The sequence below is a fragment of the Homo sapiens genome, chromosome 6 (genome assembly GCF_000001405.40).
Source record: "Homo sapiens chromosome 6, GRCh38.p14 Primary Assembly".
NCBI lineage: Eukaryota > Metazoa > Chordata > Mammalia > Primates > Hominidae > Homo > Homo sapiens.
In genome coordinates this window covers 157,183,308-157,204,452 of record NC_000006.12, presented here as the reverse complement: position 1 = coordinate 157,204,452, position 21,145 = coordinate 157,183,308, and the positions used below count along the sequence as shown (strand labels likewise).

The 21,145-nt window shown below is 44.1% G+C and overlaps 1 protein-coding gene across 38 annotated transcripts in view, besides 3 other annotated features; it reads right to left on the bottom strand.

Moving 5' to 3' along the window:
* ARID1B (AT-rich interaction domain 1B) overlaps window positions 1-21,145 on the bottom strand; it is a 434,754-nt gene that overhangs the window by 6,327 nt on the left and 407,282 nt on the right. For 37 of the 38 annotated variants that reach the window (NM_001371656.1, XM_011535984.3, XM_017011105.3 and 34 more), the window contains 7 exons: window positions 20,018-20,222; window positions 14,673-14,811; window positions 14,243-14,415; window positions 8,138-8,288; window positions 5,546-5,642; window positions 2,965-3,748; window positions 457-587 (listed from right to left, as the gene is read on the bottom strand). In NM_001371656.1, the coding sequence (NP_001358585.1) occupies window positions 457-587; window positions 2,965-3,748; window positions 5,546-5,642; window positions 8,138-8,288; window positions 14,243-14,415; window positions 14,673-14,811; window positions 20,018-20,222 (1,680 nt within the window). Of the gene's footprint in view, window positions 1-456; window positions 588-2,964; window positions 3,749-5,545; window positions 5,643-8,137; window positions 8,289-14,242; window positions 14,416-14,672; window positions 14,812-20,017; window positions 20,223-21,145 lie in introns of those variants that run through there. The other variant, XM_047419155.1, reaches the window with a different exon arrangement.
* Window positions 17,510-18,010: an enhancer, noted in NCBI's record as "H3K4me1 hESC enhancer chr6:157507577-157508077 (GRCh37/hg19 assembly coordinates)". NCBI's record gives its function as "activates a minimal SCP1, AML or CMV promoter by ChIP-STARR-seq in naive and primed H9 embryonic stem cells {active_cell/tissue: H9 hESC(naive and primed)}" and the evidence as "EXISTENCE:reporter gene assay evidence [ECO:0000049][PMID:30033119]".
* Window positions 18,011-18,511: an enhancer, noted in NCBI's record as "H3K4me1 hESC enhancer chr6:157507076-157507576 (GRCh37/hg19 assembly coordinates)". NCBI's record gives its function as "activates a minimal SCP1, AML or CMV promoter by ChIP-STARR-seq in primed H9 embryonic stem cells {active_cell/tissue: H9 hESC(primed)}" and the evidence as "EXISTENCE:reporter gene assay evidence [ECO:0000049][PMID:30033119]".
* Window positions 20,464-20,758: a silencer, noted in NCBI's record as "tiled region #1838; K562 Repressive non-DNase unmatched - State 14:Gen5'". NCBI's record gives its function as "represses a minimal TATA promoter and a strong SV40 promoter by Sharpr-MPRA in K562 cells {active_cell/tissue: K562}" and the evidence as "EXISTENCE:reporter gene assay evidence [ECO:0000049][PMID:27701403]".

The window sequence follows — 21,145 nt, the reverse complement described above, 5'->3', positions numbered from 1 at the left end:
ATATAAAATTTCTAAATCTTGAATATCTTTTTAATGAAAAGAAGATGTCAAGTCCTCCTGGAAAGCAGGGTTATGTCCCATTGCAACCAACTGTGTTTCCAATGCTGACTCCAGTCACAACTTAATGTTACATTTTGATTTCTTCCCATTGGCCAGCTAATATTCATTCTGAACAATTTAATGTTACTACTGTCATCTATCCCATATACACATACACACACAGTCACTGTTCTCTCATAAGAAATAGAGGTATGTGTGTGTACACACACTAAAGACTACAGTGAATATTATCCCAGATAACTCTACATTGATTAAGGCTGGTTGATAACAACTGCAGTGATTAACAGTGTTGGACGGTCAGTGCTCATCAACTCAGGCATTAGTTCAAGCACAAATGTGCATGGCCTGATGCTCTCCTATCCTAATTTGGTTGTTAGTTGGACTATGCTGGCTTACCTGGGAGAGATTGAAAGTAGCAACAGTGCTGTCATCATACAGAAGAATATTAATAGTGTCCAAAGCCCACGTACTCTCAGCCAAAAGACCTGATTTAAGGGACATCATCACACGCCACGCCTCAGGAGTAACTGAAGATGGGGAAGAACAAGGATATCATGAATGTTGACTCTATGCATGAAAGAACGAAAGTTAACGAAAGAGTAAGAAAAAATAAGTGGAGTGTTAAGTTAAATATTGACTTTAAACAAATGCTCTCAAGGACAGTTAAGCGTGATCATTTCCGATTTTAAATGGAGGCCATAGCTGTAACGAGAAACTTTTGTGGTTTCAGATCTCGCTTTGTTGGTCACGCAGGGGCCGAAAGTGCTTCTGGAGGTGGAGTGGTTGAGCACAGATGGTCCTTTCTCATGGCCGGGTTATTTCTTTCAGCCACCCTACAGAGTCTGCAATGTGGTATCAGAGCTTTTAATAAATGAGTCAAACCCAAAAGTGGTATTTGTCTTCTTTTGGCTTCACCACTCACGAGTGTCTCAAGGTGGCGTCCTGGAAGGCCGCCAAGTATGCAGAACATGGAAGCAAAATTTAACTCCAAGACAGCCTCCTCAGACACACGGCCTTGGCTTCCCAGGCTGCTTTCCTCTAGTCCTGTGCTCCTGCCCTCAGAACATGCTGTGATAAATATTAGCACTTTGATGGCTCAGATTTCTCAGGAGTATGGCTGGAGCCACAGAATGGGAAGTAATTTGTTGTTTTCCCTATTCCTGCTACTGAAGGAAACAAAATGATCAGGTAGAAAGTTTGGAAGATTTGCCATGAGACCCAGCTCGGCCAGATCCCTGGAGCTGCCTGGAGGCTGGGGGCATTCTCCAGGCACCAAGAATCATTGCATGAGGGGGAGACACCGTGGCTTTTCCACTTTTATTTTATCTGTTTTAAAATTTTCTAAGATAGCTACATACTGTTTTTACAATAAAAAAATCAAAATTACTTTTAAAAATAAACATGTAAATTTCCCTAGGTTGAAGACAAATGCTATATAACCCGCACTGGGAGATTTTTAGAAAATTTAGATGTATTTATTTAAACATACATATACACACATAAACACACAATACACGTGTGTGTGTGTGTATATATTTCTATATATAAAATGGTGCTCAGTGTCTGTGTCTCCTTCTCTCCCTCTGCAACCCCATATAAATACACACACACACATATTCTATATATATCTATATATCTATATTTATATCTATCTATATATATATATAAAGGGATATAGATACACATGCATTATATATAAATGGATAGATATATATAAAGGAATATGTGTGTGTGTGTGTGTGTATACAGTGGCACAGTCACTGCTGAAGCCTTGATCTCCTGGGCTCAAGTGATCCTCCTACCTCAGCCTCCTGAATAGCTGGGACTACAGAAATGAATCTCACTTTTGGCTAATTTTTTTTCTTTTTAGTAGAGACGAGGTTTTGCTAGGTTGTCCAAGGGTGGTCTCGAATTCCTGAGTTCAAGTGATTCTCCTGCCCTGGTCTCTCAATCTACATCTCCTTAATGTCCAGTGATTGATGTCTTTCAAATTATTAATATCTTTAATTTTCTAATCACTGAAAAAGATTTTAAGTCAATTTGTTCTTGATATTTTTTGAGTAATTTTTCCTAATATAACTCAGATCTATTATCTTCCTTCCTGTGTTAAAAGTACTTCAAAAATAATGCAGAAACCCTGTGTGTACTTCCAGATAGTCCAGACCTCTGATTAGTATTCAGAACATCCCACAGAGGATAAACAAGCAACATCAGCATTCGATTGACATGGTTCTTGGCCCAAGTCTACCAGTGCATTGGATGATATCAGTTCTATGTATCACAGCATAGCATATTCTTTATGTCATACCATCTATCAATCTACATATTACATACAAGCTTTAACTTTTTCCCACGGAAATTCACTGTATGTTGTCACCAAATTACAGAGTGGCTTGCCTTCAGATTTTCTCAGGTCACCTTTAGCATTTCATTAGCCTCATGGGGGGGTCTGTTAGGCACGTATTGTAGTGATTAAGTGGCTTGGTTAAGTTCAAATCTTTAAGCCCAAAATACAGCATATAACCACTCAGGATTCCCTGATCTCTTACTTGAAGCTCTAATCTTTCACACAAATAACATTCACACGTAAAACTACCATTTTATTTCACCGTGTTATCCAGGATGGTCTCGATCTCGTGACCTCGTGATCCACCCGCCTGGGCCTCCCAAAGTGCTGGTATTACAGGCATGAGCCACCGCGCCCGGCCAATCTTTCTGGCACTATTTCTTAATTCAGATTAGCAGCCTCCAACTATATTACTCCTATATAAAAACGCATCTTGATAACTTCTAGTCATAATTTTTTCATCCCTTTAAGATGAGCAGGAACAGCATCTTTACTAAAATTAAAATTCTACACTGCAACTGGAATTCATTTCAGAATGAAAGCTTTGGAATTCTTACCGATATCTTTGGAGGTAATCTTTCGCCTTTGTTTCAAGACTGGTTGTGATGCTTCTACTGAGCCAGGAGGAAAGGTGATCTCCCTTCTGATTGGGGGTGGTTGGGGTGGTGGCCCGGTGACCTGGGATGTGGGGACCGTGGGCATGACCTTCTGCATCTTCATAGACGGCAGAAAAGGAGACTTGCTTGGAGACATGCGGTTCTCCAGGGAGCGCTGGAAGGACGCTGGGCTGGGCGCCCTGGAGATGTGATTTGGCAGTGACGGTGGCGTCTGGTAGGACGGCTGTGGTGGGCGTGTGATGGGCTGCATGGAGGCTGAGGACGACATATAAGGCTGACGCTGGCTGACGTGAGAAGGCCACTGGCTCTCATGATTTATCCTCTGATCGGGTACCATCATATCGTCTGTGCGGTTCATGCCTGGGTAAGGGGGCGCCTGTGTAGGGCCGCCAGGGCCCTGCCTGTTCTGGTAGGGATAAGGCATATCATTGCGTGCTGCCCACATATTCTGCTGAGGCCCCTCACTGGAGGACGACTGCAGCGGGCCGCCCATCATCTGAGGCGGGATTCCGTGTGTCTGGATCTGCCCCGGGCCCTGCATCCTCTCCCTGCTGTAGGGATACGGGTACTGGCCCTGGATGGGCCTGCGGTCCGGGCCCGAGTAGGAGCCTCCATACTGGTTGTACATCTCCTGCTGCTGGCTGCTGTACTGCATGTTGTACATGTCGCCCTCGTGGCGCTTGGCTGGGGGCCCGTACATGCCGTCCATATGGCGTTTGTAATTCTGGAATTCACAGAAAGACAAATCATCCTGATGTGCTCTTACAGGTATAATCACACACTGAAATTATGCAAAATAGTTATTACCTGCTAGAATGTTCATTTCAAAATGAATATGGGAAGCTCCTATAACAACAGAGAACTAACAATTTATGTTCAATATTTCAGTATTATATACACCATGTCACACACTGAGGAGAGAGCATCCAAAGTTTGTTTTCACGTGTTTGAAACTTCCTGTGGAAAAAAAAAAGCCTCCTCTCCTTAGGCTGTGCCACCGGGACAGCCAGCGTTCAACTCCCACACAGGCAGACGGCTCCCGGGCTGGGAGCTGCACTAGGACCACAGCAGGAGGCAGAAGGACCCTCTCACAGGAAAGCCAGCATCCAGGGGCCGGCCTGAAAGGGTCTTGGGGTAAAAGGGTTTCTTGGGCCTCATTTTACAGAAAAGCCCCCGAACAGGACTCGGCTCCCCAGACTGGCCCGTGTCACCCAACATCCATCCCACGGCTCCTGCCCTGACTTCTGGCCTGGTCAGGTGTGGCTCCCCCAAAGCCCCACTGGTCCCAGCACTGAGGACAGGGCTGGGACCACACCTGTTATTAAGCTTGCTTCCCAGGATGCTCCGGGACCAGTGCTTAATCGGGGTAGGTGGGACTCTGATGGGAGGCAGTGAGATGCTGATGTTTTCCACTTTACTTGAAAACTGTTTAAGATCAGTTGGTTTAATAATGCAATTCACTGGCCAGGCGCAGTGACTCACGCCTGTAATCCCAGCACTTTGGGAGGCTGAGGCAGGAGGATCACCTGAGGTCAGGAGTTCAAGACCAGCCTGGCCAACATGGTGAAACCCCGTCTCTTATAGTAAAAATACAAAAATTAGCTGGGCATGGTGGCGGGTGCCTGTAGTCCCAGCTGCTTGGGAGGCTGAGGCAGGAGAATCGCTTGAGCCCAGGAGGCAGAGGTTGCAGTGAGCCGAGATTGCACCACTGGATTCCAGACAGAGCGAGACTCCATCTCAAAAAAAGAAAAAAAGCAATTCCTTGTGCCTATATGCTCCAGCAAAATTAAATAAATGAAAAATGATATACATATTATTATATATAATTATTATAATTATATAACATATATATAGTTTTCAAAATTTTTATTTTTTGCAAGAGTTCTCAGATCTGAAAAGTTTTTTAAAAACAGCAAAGTCCTGTATGTCTGGAAAGCCACACCACGAAGGGCGGTTCCTGCAGCGGCACTGGTCACTGTAAGGGGGAGATCCTGCGTAACTTAGCATCTCTGAGCTGCAATGGTCACCTGTGAACCAGCAAAAACCTGTCCTACTTATTCAAAATAAGTATCATTAGCATCTTATCTCATTTTTAAATAAGCCAATTCACTTTCACTATTAGTATACAATATTTTAAGTTGCTTTTCTACACATTCTCCTTAAAGCATTGACAAATTTCTGTTCTAAAATGGCTTCTGATACAACAGTATGCACAATAGATACATGTTTAAAATATACTAATTCTAGCTTGGGCTTGTTATTATTTACAAGGATGAATACACTCAACTTCTTATTACAGGTCATATGTGTTTCAAGAAACCGTGTATCAAGAGTTATTTTTAATTTGCTGACTTCAACATCCCAGGAGTACTTTCTAGCATTAACTATATCCTGAATGCTCAACAAACACTAATCATTTTTGTTAGATGTCTGAAAATCTTCAGAAGTAAGACAAGTTTGAGTTTTAGCCTCCAGGACAGAACCAGAAAACACAGCACCCCACGCCCACTTGCCAACTCACCGGCTGCTGTGGGTACAGGCCGGGCTGGTGCCCTCCATACGGCGGCTGTCCCGAGGGAGGGCCTTGGCCTGGATACTGCTGCCCATAAGGTTCATGCCTGGAATGAGGCATTCAAAGAAAACTTAACTGAGAAAAAGCTTCAGGCAAACAGAGAAATAAACAATCCATTTCTGGAACCCTGACTCCCTCAAGCAGCTCTGTGTGGCTTTTACTGCGCACCCCTCCGACAAAGGCCCTCTGAGAGGCAGCTGCACGCCAACTGTTAGCACCAGGGATGGGAACACCCATTTTGGGAATGGTGCCAAGCTCCTAGTTTGGGCTGTTGGCTAATAGGTGTCAGAGGAATACCGGTTGAGCAGGCAGGCACCCTGTAAGCACTTGTTAGAGCCTCTGGCCTCTGCTTGGAGGCCGCAGCCCCGCCTGTCCACTGACGTGTACCTTAGGAAGTGTCGTACAGTGCTGTGATGACAGGCATTAAGGGAAGCAAGAAACAGCAAGAAGAACTTAAGACTCAAAGGCAATGTTCCTACAAGTGCCAGAACATCAAAATGTTTGTACTTTGCACATTCTCATTATGAATGGAAAATGTTTAATTTTTAAAAGCTATACTTCAAATTTAATTCAAATGTTAGCTAATCATTATATAAATACAAGTGCTCAGAATTTCACAGTCCTATGCCCTAAAAGGCTCCAGAAAAGAATAACAGGGATGATTCAAATGTACACCTATTACATCTTAAAATGGAAATGAATAATACATTCATTTTTCAACTACTAGTATATTAAGAAATTATAAATACCATAAAAAATAGCATGTTTTAAAAGACAATAGATTTGGAACTTTGAAAAATACATTGGTTTAATATACTAAATCTTGTAAGAAAGGGAACAATGGACTGAATATATTCCTAAGCTGATCAAGGAATGAGAATAATAAAAACAAATAACTGAATTTTTAGACTATCACATGTGAAACAGACACGGGAACTTTTGATAACTACTTTGATATCTAAGAAGGAAATGCAGAGATAGGAGGAAAGAAATGTAATTGACATGGGTAAAATTTAAGTTGCCTAACAAGCAACATTTTTCAGAAGAGAAAACTTAACAATGAGGTAAACCTCTCTTTAATGTGGTAGATAGAGCCCAGATAATTGTTCTTCTAATCTTGCCAGCTACCCCCCCCAAAAAAACATCTGTAGCTTTTCCTGGACCCTCAGAAACAAAACAAACCTAACTGAAATCCTTGATTCAGCACACTAAATGTTACCTTATGGTTAACTGATTAACGAATATATCACAAGTAAATATTGGCCGTATTATGGCCGGGTTAAGAATTAGAAGAGTAAATTCCTAGGTCCCTAGGAGAAAGCACCGTGTCTCCTTAAACATGGGATGGACTCTCAAGAACAAGGCTCACAGACAATACCATAAAGAAACCTCATTTGGTAAAGCCGTGATTTTTCAACCTTTTTCTCCTTTGTATTACACTGAGGAAGCTTTCCCACTGACCCATCCCTGTGACCCCAGCATGTGGGCTGATGAAAGGTGAGCGGCTCTGGCCCAGCCGGTCCCCGGTAGAACAGCACACGCAGCTTCCGAAGGCCGCGATCCCGAAGTCAGCTCCACCCTGTGGCACACACTGTGGCTCCGGGGAGGGAAAAGCCCTTCTATTATGCCTCTATCTTTTTTCTTTAAAAATCTGAAATATTATATGAAAACCTTGCTTATCATCATGTCTCTTACTAGGAGGTAGAGAACATACCCAACAAGGGGAAGGGGTTTTTGTGACAATGAGTATTGAAGTCAGGGCCCAGGCAAGGGACTTTCTTCACAAAAAGAAGCCTACCCTATGCCATCATCTTAGGAAGCAGTTTTCAGGTTACCTTTCAGAGCCATTTCAATAACTTTTCCTCCTATCTAGTTACAAATCACTCTGCATCATCAGTCCTGCAGCTGAACTTGCCATTTTAACTTGCAAGTTTAACTTGCCATTTTCAGTCATTTCAAGATGACTTCCTTAAGCGAGGCTGCAGTGAGGCCTGTGCTGTGGGTTTTCTAGAGATGTTTATTAAAGAGCAAAGTATTGTCCCTCTGTTTAAAATATTCACAGGGGAAAAGCACTGCCTGGAAGACCTTTCCAGAATGCTGAAAGCCCAGTGTGGCTACCACTGCACAGGCCTTTCCCCCAGACAGAAAGAAGGGAGGGAGGGGAGCGGGTGCTGTGGAGGCCCAGGCATCCAGGAGCTCCAGGCGAGCCATGTCTGGAGTGTGCAGCTGGCAGTCCCTCAGAAGGAAGCTGGGTGCTGGTGCCGGGTGCCAGCGTGACTTGTGGCGGCCCTGGCTCTTGACTTCGGGAAGAAGACTCCTACCAAGGCCAAGGTCCTTCTCCCTGGTCCTGAATAGCCATCTACTGAGGGCAGCCACCTGACACTCACCTGGTGACCAGCAGCCATTGCCTCTTTACTTTCACAGGAAAGGGGACACTGTATATTGTCATCAGTGGCTCAGCTGCCAGGGCTCAGAAATGTGTGTGTGAGGAAAGCACGGTTTCTAGTAAATCATCATATTGTCATCTTAAAAAATACTCACCTTCGGTCGTAACTGGCTCCATAGGGAAACTGCTGGCGCTGCCCCATGCCCAGGTTAGACATTGCTCCGGAGGGACTTTGGTTGTACATGTCCTGCATGCTGCTGTTGGGCATCTGTCCTTGCGTCATAAAGGGCTCGCTGCTTCCAGGCACTGCAATATTTTAAATAAAATGCATACATTTAGGCATTTCTGAAAGTCAAAGGCCCATCCATCCCTTCTAGTCATCTCTATTGTCTTTGGACTTTTTCTTTTTTTTGAGATGGAGTCTCACTCTGTCGCCCAGGCTAATGCAGTGGTGTGATCTTGGCTCACTGCAACCTCTGCCTCCCGGGTTCAGGCGATTCTCCTGCGTCACCCTCCCAAGTAGCTGAGATTACAGGCATCCACCACCACACCTGGCTAATTTTTGTATTTTTAGTAGAGACAGGGTTTCACCATGTAGGTCAGGCTGGTCTTGAACTCCTGACCTCAGGTGATCCATCCACCTCAGCCTTGCAACATGCTGGGATTATAGGCGTGAGCCACTGCGCCTGGCCTGTACTTTTTCTTAATATGATAGACCATAATACTATTGAAAGAGCATAAGTTGTGGAGCCAAGATGTGCTCTGTGGGGGCAGAAATCTAAGATGGCCCCGAAGATCCAGCACCCCCTGCCCGGTGGGCACCTTCCATGAGCCCCTCCCCTTCAGTGTGGGTGGGACCTATGAATACGATGGTATCACTCCCATGATTATGTTATGTATGTTACATGGCAAAAGGGGCTTAACAGATGTGATTATAGTTACTAATCAGCCGATTGTGAGTTTAAACAGAAGGGAGATTGTCCAGGTAGCCCTTTAAGTTTGGATCTAGAGCTTAGAGAGGAAGCAAGTCAGAGATATTTTCCTGCTGGCCTTGAAGAAGCAACTGGCATGCTGTGGAGGGGGATCACGTGTTAGGGAAGGTGGGCAGAAGATAGTCAACAAGAAAACGGGACTGCAGCCTCACAAACACAAGCAAGTGAATTCTGCCAATGACTTAAATAAACTCGGACGAGGACCCTGAGCCTTCAAAGAGCTCACAGTGCTGGCAGACACCTTGATTTTAGCCTGTGGGACCCTGAGCAGAGGCCCAGTCACACTGTGCCAGATTCCTGATCCACAGACACTGGAGGATCATACATTTATGTTGTTTTAAGCTGCTAAGTTTGTGGTAACTTGTTATATAACAACATAGAAAACTAATACAGGCCCAGATCCATTCCTTACTTGGGTAAGTTACCTCTGAGTTTAATTTCATTTCTTTTCAACATTTTTATTATGTTTTTTAGAGAGAGGGTCTCGCTGTATCACCTAGTGATAAGAGGTGCAATGTTGCAACTGCAGTGGTGAAATCGTAGCTTACTGTAGCCTCGAACTCCTGGGCTCAAGTGATCTGCCTGCCTTCCTCAACCTCTTGAGGTGCTAGAATTACAGGCATGAGTCATCACCTGGCCCCTATTTTCTTGTCTATAAAATGAGGCCAGTAATATTATCTCATGAAATGGTTGTAAGGAGGACATAAAATATGTATACAAAGTTAGTTCCCTTCTCCCATAAGAAAAAAGGTGAAAACCTTAACATTCAGCCACTGATTCACTCCAAAATAAGGATTAAAAAAATTATTAAGGAGTTAAGAATAGCTCAAGATGGGATGAAATACAACTATTTCTAACACAGGATGGAGTGACAAGTAGGTAGTACATGCAAATTAGCATCAGCTCAGAGCCTGAAGGAAATTGTGTTCAGTCCAGAAACTAGCCTGAAGGCAAATTAAACATTTTAATATAAATTTTCATCGTTATACAGTATTGCTACCTTTCTCCATCCTATGATAGTTACTTTTATGTTATGTGAAGCAAAAGCTGGTTAAGATTTCATGAGTAGATACATTTTGTTAGGCTGGTAGAGAGGGGCCAATGCCAGCATCAAGTATTTTCCTTTGCAATGTGCTTTCACCTGTTTTATCTATTTGATCTCACATCAACCTGTGGTAGAACCAGTTTTGAAGTTACTTTCTATTTTGTAGATGTGAAAACAGAGATAGAAAGAAATCACGTGACATAATTAAATAGCTTTTCTCTAATACACAAGGAAATTTAAAAAAATCAACAGGAAAAGCAACAATCAAATTAAAAATGGGCAAACACATAAATGAACATTCACAAAAGAAAAACAAATGGTCAATCAACATATGAAAAGATGTGTGAGTTCACTAATAATGGAATGAATCCAAGGTAAACAGTAATGAGGCCTTCCCCCTTCCATCTGATTGGCCAATGTTAAAATGATGGACAATGATCATTCTTAGTAAGGGGGTGAGAACCCGCACACTCTCACATGCTTTTGTTGAGAACATTAAGCTGGTATAAGCTTTGCCAATACCTGCTTTACCTGCTATGGGAGGCTGTGCTTTGGCAACCCCCAAAGAAGTGCATCTCCCAGCATTCGCAGCCTGGGAAACCCCTCCCATGATGCCTTTGGGTTTGGTCATGTGATTAGCATTGCCTAAGAGGGCTCCAGCAAGTGAGATGCAAGCAAAAGTTTTTAACTGCTTGCTCCCGGGACCTGTCCTCTTGGAGTGCTCCCTCTTGAAATCCATCTGCCATGTTATAGGCACCTAAGAAACTACATGGAAAGGCCCCATGGAGGAGGCTGCAGCCAACAGCTCCAGTTGAGGTCCCAGTAGAGCCTGGGGATGACATCAGCCACTTGAGAGACATCAGAGCCCAGCAGAGCTCTCAGCCTGGCTCCCAGATGATGGCGGCCACCTCAATATCCTAGCTGACAACATGACACACAGAGCGAAGAACTACCCAGTCTACCACAGAACTGAGAGATATAATTAAGTGTTACTGTTTTTAAAGCCACTAAGATTTGGGGGTAGTTTGTTATACTGTAAAAGCTGAGATACTCAGTAAACTAAAAAAAAAGTTCATATCCTTTGATTCAACAATTCTACTTCTAGGAATCTATTTCGCAGAAACATTCTTACAATGTGAAAAAACTGTACTTCAACAATCACTGCTTCATTGTTTATAATAGAAAAGATTATGGAACAACTCACCCATTACTAGAGCATTAGGGTGTATCTATTCAATTAAAAAAAGTAGAGCTATGTGTACAGATAATAATATAAATTCGATATATACTATTCTGTTAAACATATAAAATGATGTTCATTTATATGTAATCAATCAATGCCTCAATCAGTGAAGTAAGGAAGTAAGAAGGCAGGGAAGGCAGGCCGGTGAACAGGCAGGGCCAGGCCCCTCAGGGCTACTGAGGGCTAATATTAGATCAGACTCTGACCATGCTACTTGTACTACAGGTTAACACCACCAGCAGCAGCAACAGCGACAAAGAGTATGTTTTCCACTGAAGTTAGTCATTAAATAAAAAATCAGAGCACCATTAAGTTTACTGACAGAGTAAGGCAAACTGAAGAATGGAAAACTATACACAACAGGATTAAGACTCTTAGAAAATGTGTTTCCCGTGGATTTTCTGTTTATCTGCTTTAATTTGGTACTGAATACATCAATACCGTAAGGCAGCAGGTGAACTGAAATACACTAGGGATTGTACTTGCCACCGGGGATCATTTACATGGTTGATGAAAACAACATTACAGACAGTCACCAAAGTAGGATGGCTCAACCTTATGATGGTGTGAAAGCGACAGGCATTCAGTATGCTCCTCAATTTAAGATGGGGTTATGTCCGGATCAACTCATTGTCAATCAAAAATATCGTAAGTGAAAGTGTGTTTTCAACTTACCAATATTTTCAATTTAGGATGGGTTTCTTCTGATGTAACCCCACTGTAAGGTGAGAAGTATCTGCATATATCTACCTAGGGCCTAGCAAGGTGATCCCAGAATCATTCCACCCCCACAAATTTATTTTTGTAATAAGAAATTCTAGGCATGAGGACACGAGGGAAATACACCTATAGTTGTCTAATGTGGTGTATCGGTGGGATATGGGAATGGTTTGCAATACATTTTGAGGCCAAATTCTAAATACTACTAATTATTTTTTTCCATGTTGTCATATTTTCAGAGTCTAAAGCCACCAAAAGCACTAACGAAATGTTCTGTCTAGCATCTCATACCACTAAGAAAAACAGCTACCCCAACATTCACAAAGCTTTTGAAATTCTAAGCTTATGGATTTACTGCATGTCCTACAAAATCCTCACTTGGAATAAGCAGCCCTGAAACTTTTGAAAGAAAAAAATCATAGATGATCTTGCTTTATGAGTGTTACCTGAAATGTTGTACATGAAATACTATGAATTTCATTTTTAAATGGTATATGCCCTATACTCAAATTTTAAAGACTCTCCATTGTTCTTTTTCATTGGTCTATAATACATATGAAAACCAAGGCTTTGGGCTTTATGCTTCTCTCCACTCAGACAATATTATCAAGAAATTTATGTACCCCAACACAGGTACTATTATTTAAGGGATTCCAGAGTAAGTATTTCCATAAAAATATTATTCACTATTTATTCTATATGTTTTTTTCCAATAATATACACATCATGCTTCAATTTCACAGGCCTTGAATGCACTTGGAAGAATGCGCAAGAGCAAAATATCAAGTCTCCACTTGTGGCTTGTAGACCACGGGCAGAACTGAAGGACAGTGGCTCAGACAGTCACAGCCTCAGTGCCACCTCAACCTTGGGAGTCGGCAGGCATCAAGGGAAGGGCCAGCCTGGTGTCTCCTGATGGCAGTCATAAACTTCTGCACTCTCTGTCTCAAGGATCTCATCAATCCCATCACTGCAGATGCCATTTCTACACTTACTACTCCAAGATCATACCGATCCCAACATCTGCTCAGCTCCAGCCATGCACTCCATGCCTTACCACCGGGACACACCCCAGAGGGACTCCAGGTTCCCCTCTCTAGCCCGGTCCTTTTCCAATCCTCTGCATTGCAGGGAATAATGTCTTCACCCGCCCAGTCACGGTTAGCTTCTCCCTCAGGGCCCGCGTTCACTCCACCAGCACCTCTGACATACACTCTGCCGGCGGGTTCCCTCTGTGCTGCTGGTGTCCGGCTCCAGTTGGCCAGCTCCCCCTAGACTCTCACAGTGGTCTCCCCAAAGCTACTCTTACCTCTTTCCAGTACATTCTCCAGAGATGGCCAGTCATTTATTTATTTATCACAAAAAAAAACTACTCACATCACTTCCCTGCATAACATCTTTCACCTTGGGGAAAAATCCAGATTCATCAATACGCCCACAGACACCGAAAGGCTTTGGCCCCGCCGGCCTCAACGACCTCAGCCTGTCCCCGGGCCCATGCTCACTGTGCTCTGGACACCCACCACCTCCTCATACACCAAGCTCATTCCCACCACCACCCCCATGACAGGTCCTCAGGGCCCTTCCCTCCCGACCACTCAGTCTAAATCGCTTTCCCTCTCTCCCACCGCGCCACCCAGTGCCACTGCTATCTGTATCCTTTCTTCCTTTCACTTTCCTGTCTTCCACCAACCACAATCTTTAACTGCTTATTTGTGCTTAACTTATTTTTTGCTTCCTCCCAGGAAGTAAGAAGGCAGGGAGTCTGTGATTCCCTGAAGGTGGGCAGCGACTCTGATTTACCAATCCACGAGCTAGCGCCCAGCGCACACTAGCACACCACCATGCCAAGTGCCGTGAAGTGCGTGCTTACTTACCGCGGCTGCCAGCCACTCTTCTCTGAGCTCTGTTGCAGGAACTTAATCCTCGCCATGCCTTTGGAAGCGGGTCCTATTATTTTCCCAATTTCTAGATGAGGAACGTAACTTGGCACGTGTAAGGAGGTGGCAGGTATCCGGAAACAGGGAGCATGTGCCAGGGAACAGGCTGAGGGCACTGAGGCCAGCCGGGGACAGGATGAGGGCACAAAGAGGCTAACTGCTTTTCCCAAGGCCACAAGTGGAGTAGGATGGGGACCTGGGACCCACACCGATGCAGCATGGGCTCAGAGGTGTTCTGAGTGAAAGGTGAACTGTTGTGGAACGGCAGAGAGTAGAATGCCCACTGGTCCATGGCCGGGTGGAGGCCCCTCTACACGTACCTTTTCTCATTCCCCCAAAGGGGTCCTTGTTGGGCTCATAGGGCATCCTGCCCATCACATCGGGCATGCTCATGCCCTGCTGGTAGGGGGCGTTTGGAGTCATGGAGTTCCGTTTCGGGAAGGATGAATCACTCACATCTGAGAATGGGTCGTGCACACTGATTGTACTGCTTCTGAAGAGAGGCAAAGAATGAAAGCTTAATGATACAGCAGGAGTTACCTCCAAACAGTACATTCAGAAGATGAACCCATCTTGAAATGTGCAAATGCAAAAACCATTCAAGATAAATGACATGAAGAAAACTGGCAGTCATCAACATTTAAAAACTCTCTAGGGAATACCATTTCTTCTCTCTGTGAAGTTTGCCCCAGAAAACTAAAAGATGAACAAATGTGACTTTGTATGCCTCACAGAGTTATTTGAACATACCTTCCACCTTGCATTGGAGTCATCTGGCCGTGAGGGGTGGAGGCTGGGGTAGGTGGCTTCAGGTCACCTGGAACCTCTGCCATGGAATTGCTGCCAGTTGACTGGGGGGTCTGTGGGCCTTGCAAGGATCCCGAGTTAGCTGATAGTAGCAGCACCAAGAGAAACAGGAAGAAATCCAGAGATTATCAAGTAAGCCCAGCTGCCTTGCTAGTTATACAGATGAAAGACATAAATGTAAATAAGACACCATCTTATTAGAAACAGTAACAATAGCCATTGCTGATAATGATGTTGTAAAATTCGTTGCTTTTCTATTGTTTACAGTAAAAATTAGTAAAGAAGTTTTTGAGTAAACTATTTGGCAACATATTTCATTTGTGAGCCATAAAACACATTTATATCTTTTGACTGGATACTTATTTTCTGGGGTATTTATCCCAAGAAAATAATCTAATAAAAAGGAGGCTTTAGGCAGAAGAGTGTTCATTCACTGTTGTCTAGACTGGAAATAATCTAAATGTACATTTTTATAAATGGGATGAAAATTTTTGTGCATCAACTCGATGAATTATTGTGCTGTTTTAGAAACGAAATTAGAAAACTTAGTTCTGGGTCTTAGACAATGTGAAATGTTTAAGATGAAAAGCAAGGACACAAATTAACAATGAGCCTTATGTCATTTCAATAGCTTCTCAACATCTGAATGTGTCTGTGCTGTCATTAATAGTGTCACTTTTTGACCTATGAAATCAGATTTGTTATCAAAAAGCACAAGTCATACTGGTTTGGCGTTTTTTTAATGCTGTTATCAGGGTGCTGAGATTTGGCTTTAAGTATAATTACATTATAATAACAGAATTGAACTGATTTTTTCCAAACCTTATGTGGGACTCTTGGAAAAATTAATTAACCTCACCTTGAGGGAAAAACGTAACATTTGCAGGGCTCCTGCTCTGTCATCTACTGCAGTCCTTAGCACGCCAGATCATCAATAGATACTGGTTTCATGTGTGAATTAAACAAATACTTAATAAATGAGTAATACACCTACTATAGTCTAGGTTCTCTTCTATGCTCACATACACCAGTGGACCAAACTGATAAGAAAGACAACAACCCCTGCCCTCATGGAGTTTCTGATAAAAACGTGCAGAACCCCCCGAACAAATGGCAGGATTACTGCTGCTTGTGAATAACGTTTTCCATGTTATTGTGTAGAATGCCTTTCCTATGACGTTCCCAAGGCTCACTACAACTACCATTATTCACATTTTACTCTAGTGGCAATGGAGGTGAAACAAACCACGAGAGGTTACAGAGGACACTGGGAAGGAGTCAGAAATCAAAATGAGTACATTATTTCTACTCGGAAAGCCTCAGCTAGACAGAGACATTCCTAGCCAGATGAGGTCTGCCCAGCCTCTGGCCTGGGTTGGAATGAACGCTGGCCAACAGAGCTGAACACTGCGTAACATCCGTCCCTGTGAGCCCTGCACTGAATGACTTAGAGAAGTTCTCAGAGATGCCACAAAGACTGACTTTTTTAAAAAAGTTTTTATTTACTTTTTTTTTTTTAAACTTTAAGTTGAGGGGTACATGTGCAGGATGTGCAGGTTTGTTACATAGGTAAACGCATGTCATGGGGGTTTGTTATACAGAGAAGATTGACACTTATTGTAGGTATTTTAAAAGAAAAATGTATTCACTCATACTTACAAACCAAATTTGCGTAAAACCCTGGAAACACATGTTAAAAAGGTATATTGGAGTAAAGGAAGAAAGCCGTCTTTTGCAGATATAAAAGGGTAATAATCCTGCAGACATGGTTGCCCGCCTAGTGCTGCAGAAGAGAAATGACTTGCTTTCGAAATTCAGGCAGGCTCCGCTCCAGCCGACAGCCTCCTTGGAAACATCACTTGCAAGGCTTGATTTCAGAAAGACCCTTATTTACAAGTATTCACATTTATAGCTAATAAAAAAAAAAAGGAAAAATCTCCCTTGCCAGTGTTTTTTTTTTCCTTTCCTTTCATGGAAAAAAAAAAAATGAATGCAACCTCTTGTAACTCCATTAATAGAGGAGGCTGGCAGGCTCTCTAGGACATCCCTACCTTTTGCCAGAAGCTACAAATGTATACTCTAAAGTAAACAATGGAAAGGTTACTGAAGGTTAAGTACATTCACACACTTCAGACAGCATGGCCAGGCTCCTAGCTGGGAAGATAATTTACCCGGCACGAACCTGGTGCCCTAGTTCTGGCGGGGTTGAGCGAAGTAGGGTGGGGAGAAGGAATAGCTGATATGTCCCAGGTCTACAGTGACTAGAGGTCAACCAGAGGGCACCTCTGTTTATAACCTGAGTCCCTTTCTCATTTATCTTCCACTGAGGATTCCCTAGTTGGATCCATGACAGGTTTTGTGACATCACCTGTCAGCTAATAATAGAAATTCAGTCAGCCACCTGCCAGCCAAGATGGATGGGTTTTTGGTTACAGACTTATTAACCGAATGTGGAGCTCCATGCCCCACCCCTGCCCCACTTCTCCCAGCCTGGTCCCTTCCATTCCCCTCCCCATCTCCAGCTTACAGGCTGGGGAGGTGCTTCCTACAGCGCTCATTGGAACTCCCCCACAACCTTTTCTAGATGCTTTATAACAAGATCGCCACTGGCACCTTAAAGACACAAACCACACCCCATGGCCTTGCCTTGGTTCACCTGGGAGTCTCAATCACTGACTTGCTCTGGTGGCTGGAAGACAGGAACCCAGACATCCGGTGTGAGAAGCCACACAGCCACTTGGCAGTGATATGTGGGGTGCAGCCCCAGGGGCCAAGGGGCTTATGCCTCCCAGAGGCTGACAGAATTGAAGCCTAGAGCTGTATTAGCACCCCAAATTGAAACCTGACTAGAGACAGATGACTTAGAGTGCTCTTAGAATACAGTCAAAAGACTTAGGATTTTAGCTGGTTCAGAGCAACCATTGGGTGAAAAAAAATCTAAAATGTTTCTTCAGAATCTTTTAGTTTAGTTCGCCTGAATGTGCTGGTAAAAAATAAACTATAATTATGTTCTTCCAGGAAAAAGTGACTTCAAAGAACATACATTTTTACCGTAAATTTGTGTTTAAAAATCTTGTAATAAATGAGACTCTAACATGGCCAATAGTTGGGAATAATTTTATTTTCCTTTAACAACAAAAATGTTTCCAGACACTTTCCCTAATGATGGGACTGGAATCGGAGAGGCCACCTGCTGTGTGGGTGGCAGTGAATCGAGAGGCTTCTGAAGACCAGGGTGCCTCTGCCTGCGACCCCCAGACGCCTGTGTGTGCCTGGAGCCCCCTGCACGCGCTCTCGGGGCTGGACGAGACCAGGAGGCTTTCCTTCCACTGCCTCCTGTGTCACAGGCCCTCGGCTCCATCTGGACTACTGAGAAGAATGTATACCAGGAGTCCATTTGCAATCCAAGCTCTTTTGTGTAGTTAAAATGATAATGTTGCCATAAAAATGACAGTTTAAAAAAGGGGAAAAGGGAACGGCTGGCTGTTAAGAGAACAGGCCCTCCACTTTCTGAAGGATCTATACGCCTCAGCAGGGCCCCCGTCCTGAAGCTGATGCACACTGGGAGAGCTATTCTCCATACACAAGTGCAGCCCATTCAGTGACACGAGTTCTTTCCTGGCAAATAAAATGTACCCTTAGATCTTTACAGACATCACCACTTTGGTCCCTACGCCCCACTGGGTTTTTATTTTGGAAAAATAGTTTCAGAGCTGTTCACAGGCAGCTTGTTTTACTCTGTGAACTGGATGTAATGTTGTGAGATTTTTAAAATTAGATTTCCCAGTTTTTAAGGGACACCTGAGTTGGTAAAGCCTTTGAATCTTTAAGGATGAGGTTAGCGAGGATTTCTACTTGTTTTTAGAGCCTACAGATGTAATTCTAGGTATATTCACTACAAGTGCACTTTGGGCCTAAAACGTATTTATGTGAGATCCCTTGATTAGCAACCTTGGATATCAGCTTTGCCATCCAGACAGCAGCTAGAGGAAATCATTAAAAATGAAATGACCTCTTTCTCTGGCTTCTATGTGTAAACATTTCACATATTACAAAGGTATTTTCAATACAGCCAGAGGTGTCTGGTGGGTATCGTGTATACTGTAGCACCAGATGCCCCAGATAAGACCTTCTACTCCCCAGCTAGTTGGCTTTGGGCAAGTACTTAGATTCCACGAGACCTTCATTTTCTCATGGATTTTAAAATAGTATCAATGTCACAGGGCTGATGTGAAAATGAAATGATAGCACTTAGAAAAGGGCCCAGCACACTGGAAGTGCTCAGGAAACATGGGCTGCCAGCCACGCTCAGAACAAGCTGTGTACAGGAGCGGTGGGTGCAGCCACATCTCATAGACAGGGACCAGGAACAGTGAGGCTAATGTGCTGAAGGTCGCTGACTGCGAGGCAGACACAGATAAGAGAATGGTCGGATCTACTGGAGTAAGGTCACCACCCAGCACTAAGGTGCCAATTTCTTCCCCTCTCTACTATTGCATTTATCAGAATATATGATTTTGTCATTTCAAATCTGAAAGCCAAACGGTAGAACGAAGGCTGGCAGGGGAGCTGAAAGGAATGGGAGGGTCTCTGTCAGTGGGGAGGAGAGGGAAGGGAGCCAGCAGGCGTCACTGATGTGGCTCGGCCTGCGAGCGTGTTGGTGGCCAGCGCTGCACCCATTCCTAAGACCCCTGACTTCCAGAACAAGGCTGCAAAAGACCACCTGTTTCCAAAACAAGGCCGTGTGGATCCTTACCACGACAGCTTGTTAAATTCCCTAGAAGTGAGAACTTGCTGGGTAGGGGACATTAGAAACGAAGCCCAGGCTTCATTTTACTAAAGTTCAAATCTGAGGATTTCCGAAAGAGGGCGGGGGAGCTCGAGCTGTCGAACCTGTAGGGTGGCATTTCCTAGAAGTGCACATGTATTCAAACTGGCCACTGGGGGATCTTTATTTTGTGTAGAGGTAGATGGAATCTTTTTGAATACTTGTATAAGCAATAAACGTATATGGCTTAGAATTCGAAAGCCTGTTTTGATTAAGGTAAAGCAAAAGAAGGGGTGCCTTCCAAGTGTCAACCAGAAATGGCCATATCCCAGATTTAATTCTCTCATCCCTTAACACTGCCAGTGGGCGTCCAATTAAATAAACAAAACGACACAGGAACCCCCCACCTCTCAAAAGTCCCAAGTTCCCTGTTGGCCTGACTGTGAAACCACCTTCCCGGAACCTCCCAGGCCAGGCGCCTGGGCTTTCCTGGGCCAGTGACTGCAGCGCCGCCACTTACCAGGAGATGGCGGCTGGAGCTTGGGCTGCTTTTTGGTGTCCCCGGTGCTGAAGACTTCCGGCGGGGGCTCCTCCCCACGTTCGATCTTGCACTCAAAGGCAAACAGGTACTGAATATACTGCTTTTTCAGGGAGCTCGCTGCACTGCTTGAGGTGCCAACGTTTAGGTTGGTTGCCAGCTCACGCCACTTCTTGTTTTTATTAACCTAGTGAAAAACACGGCAGGATCATTGGTTTGCAACAAAGTGGCTTGTTTAAAGCCAGGAGACAAAAAAAGCACTTAATGTCTTGGTTGACTTTTCTTCATTTGCCTCTTTTAACTAATGCTCATTACTCCCACTCAGCAGTGCATAGGCAGCATTTACAGTTATAAAACCATTAGGGAACCTGCTGATGGCAACAGAAAAAGCACTGCTCGGAGGTCCTTCTGCCCGCCACATCTCCCAACGCCTCACGCTCATCCCACTGCACCTCCAATTAAGGAAAAAGGGCATCTCAAAACATTTAAAAAGCAACAACGGCACTATTTTCCAAGTTAGGTTTTTGGGCACTGATGTGAAAGTGCTCATTCCAGCAGCTGCAAGCCCTCAGAAGTGGGCCTGTGATTCTGGGCCGTACCCATCCCCTCACCCCAAGACTGCTTGGGGTGTCAGGCAAAAGCAAAAGCAGCACCTCGTGCAAAGGCAAATGAGCCCCTGGACCAACGGCCCCCAACTTAAAAAGCATGATGCGATGCCACTGGCCACCAGCCCTGCTGACGGGGCAGGTGCACACCTTCCTGTGCGGTGCTCTTACTCAAGGAGGCTTAAAGGGCTGGAGACAACACAGTCGCAAAAGGAGGAGAAAGAAAGAGAACTCCTGAAATGTGACGTCAAGATCCGAGGCATTATTTTAACCTTTTGATTCCCACTTGGGAACAGGTTATGAAAGGTTAAACGGTTAAACACATGGATGAAACATGAGGATTTGCAAATAACTTGGGGAAGGTTTTGCCTTTTGATGTCTCCTGCGTTGTGTGGCAAGGGAGGAGGTAAGGGGACAGTGGTTTTTAATGAAATATTAAATTTCTGGGTTCAAACTTTCTCACACGGCTCTTCTGTCCATTTACTTAGTACTCGGTGGTGTATAA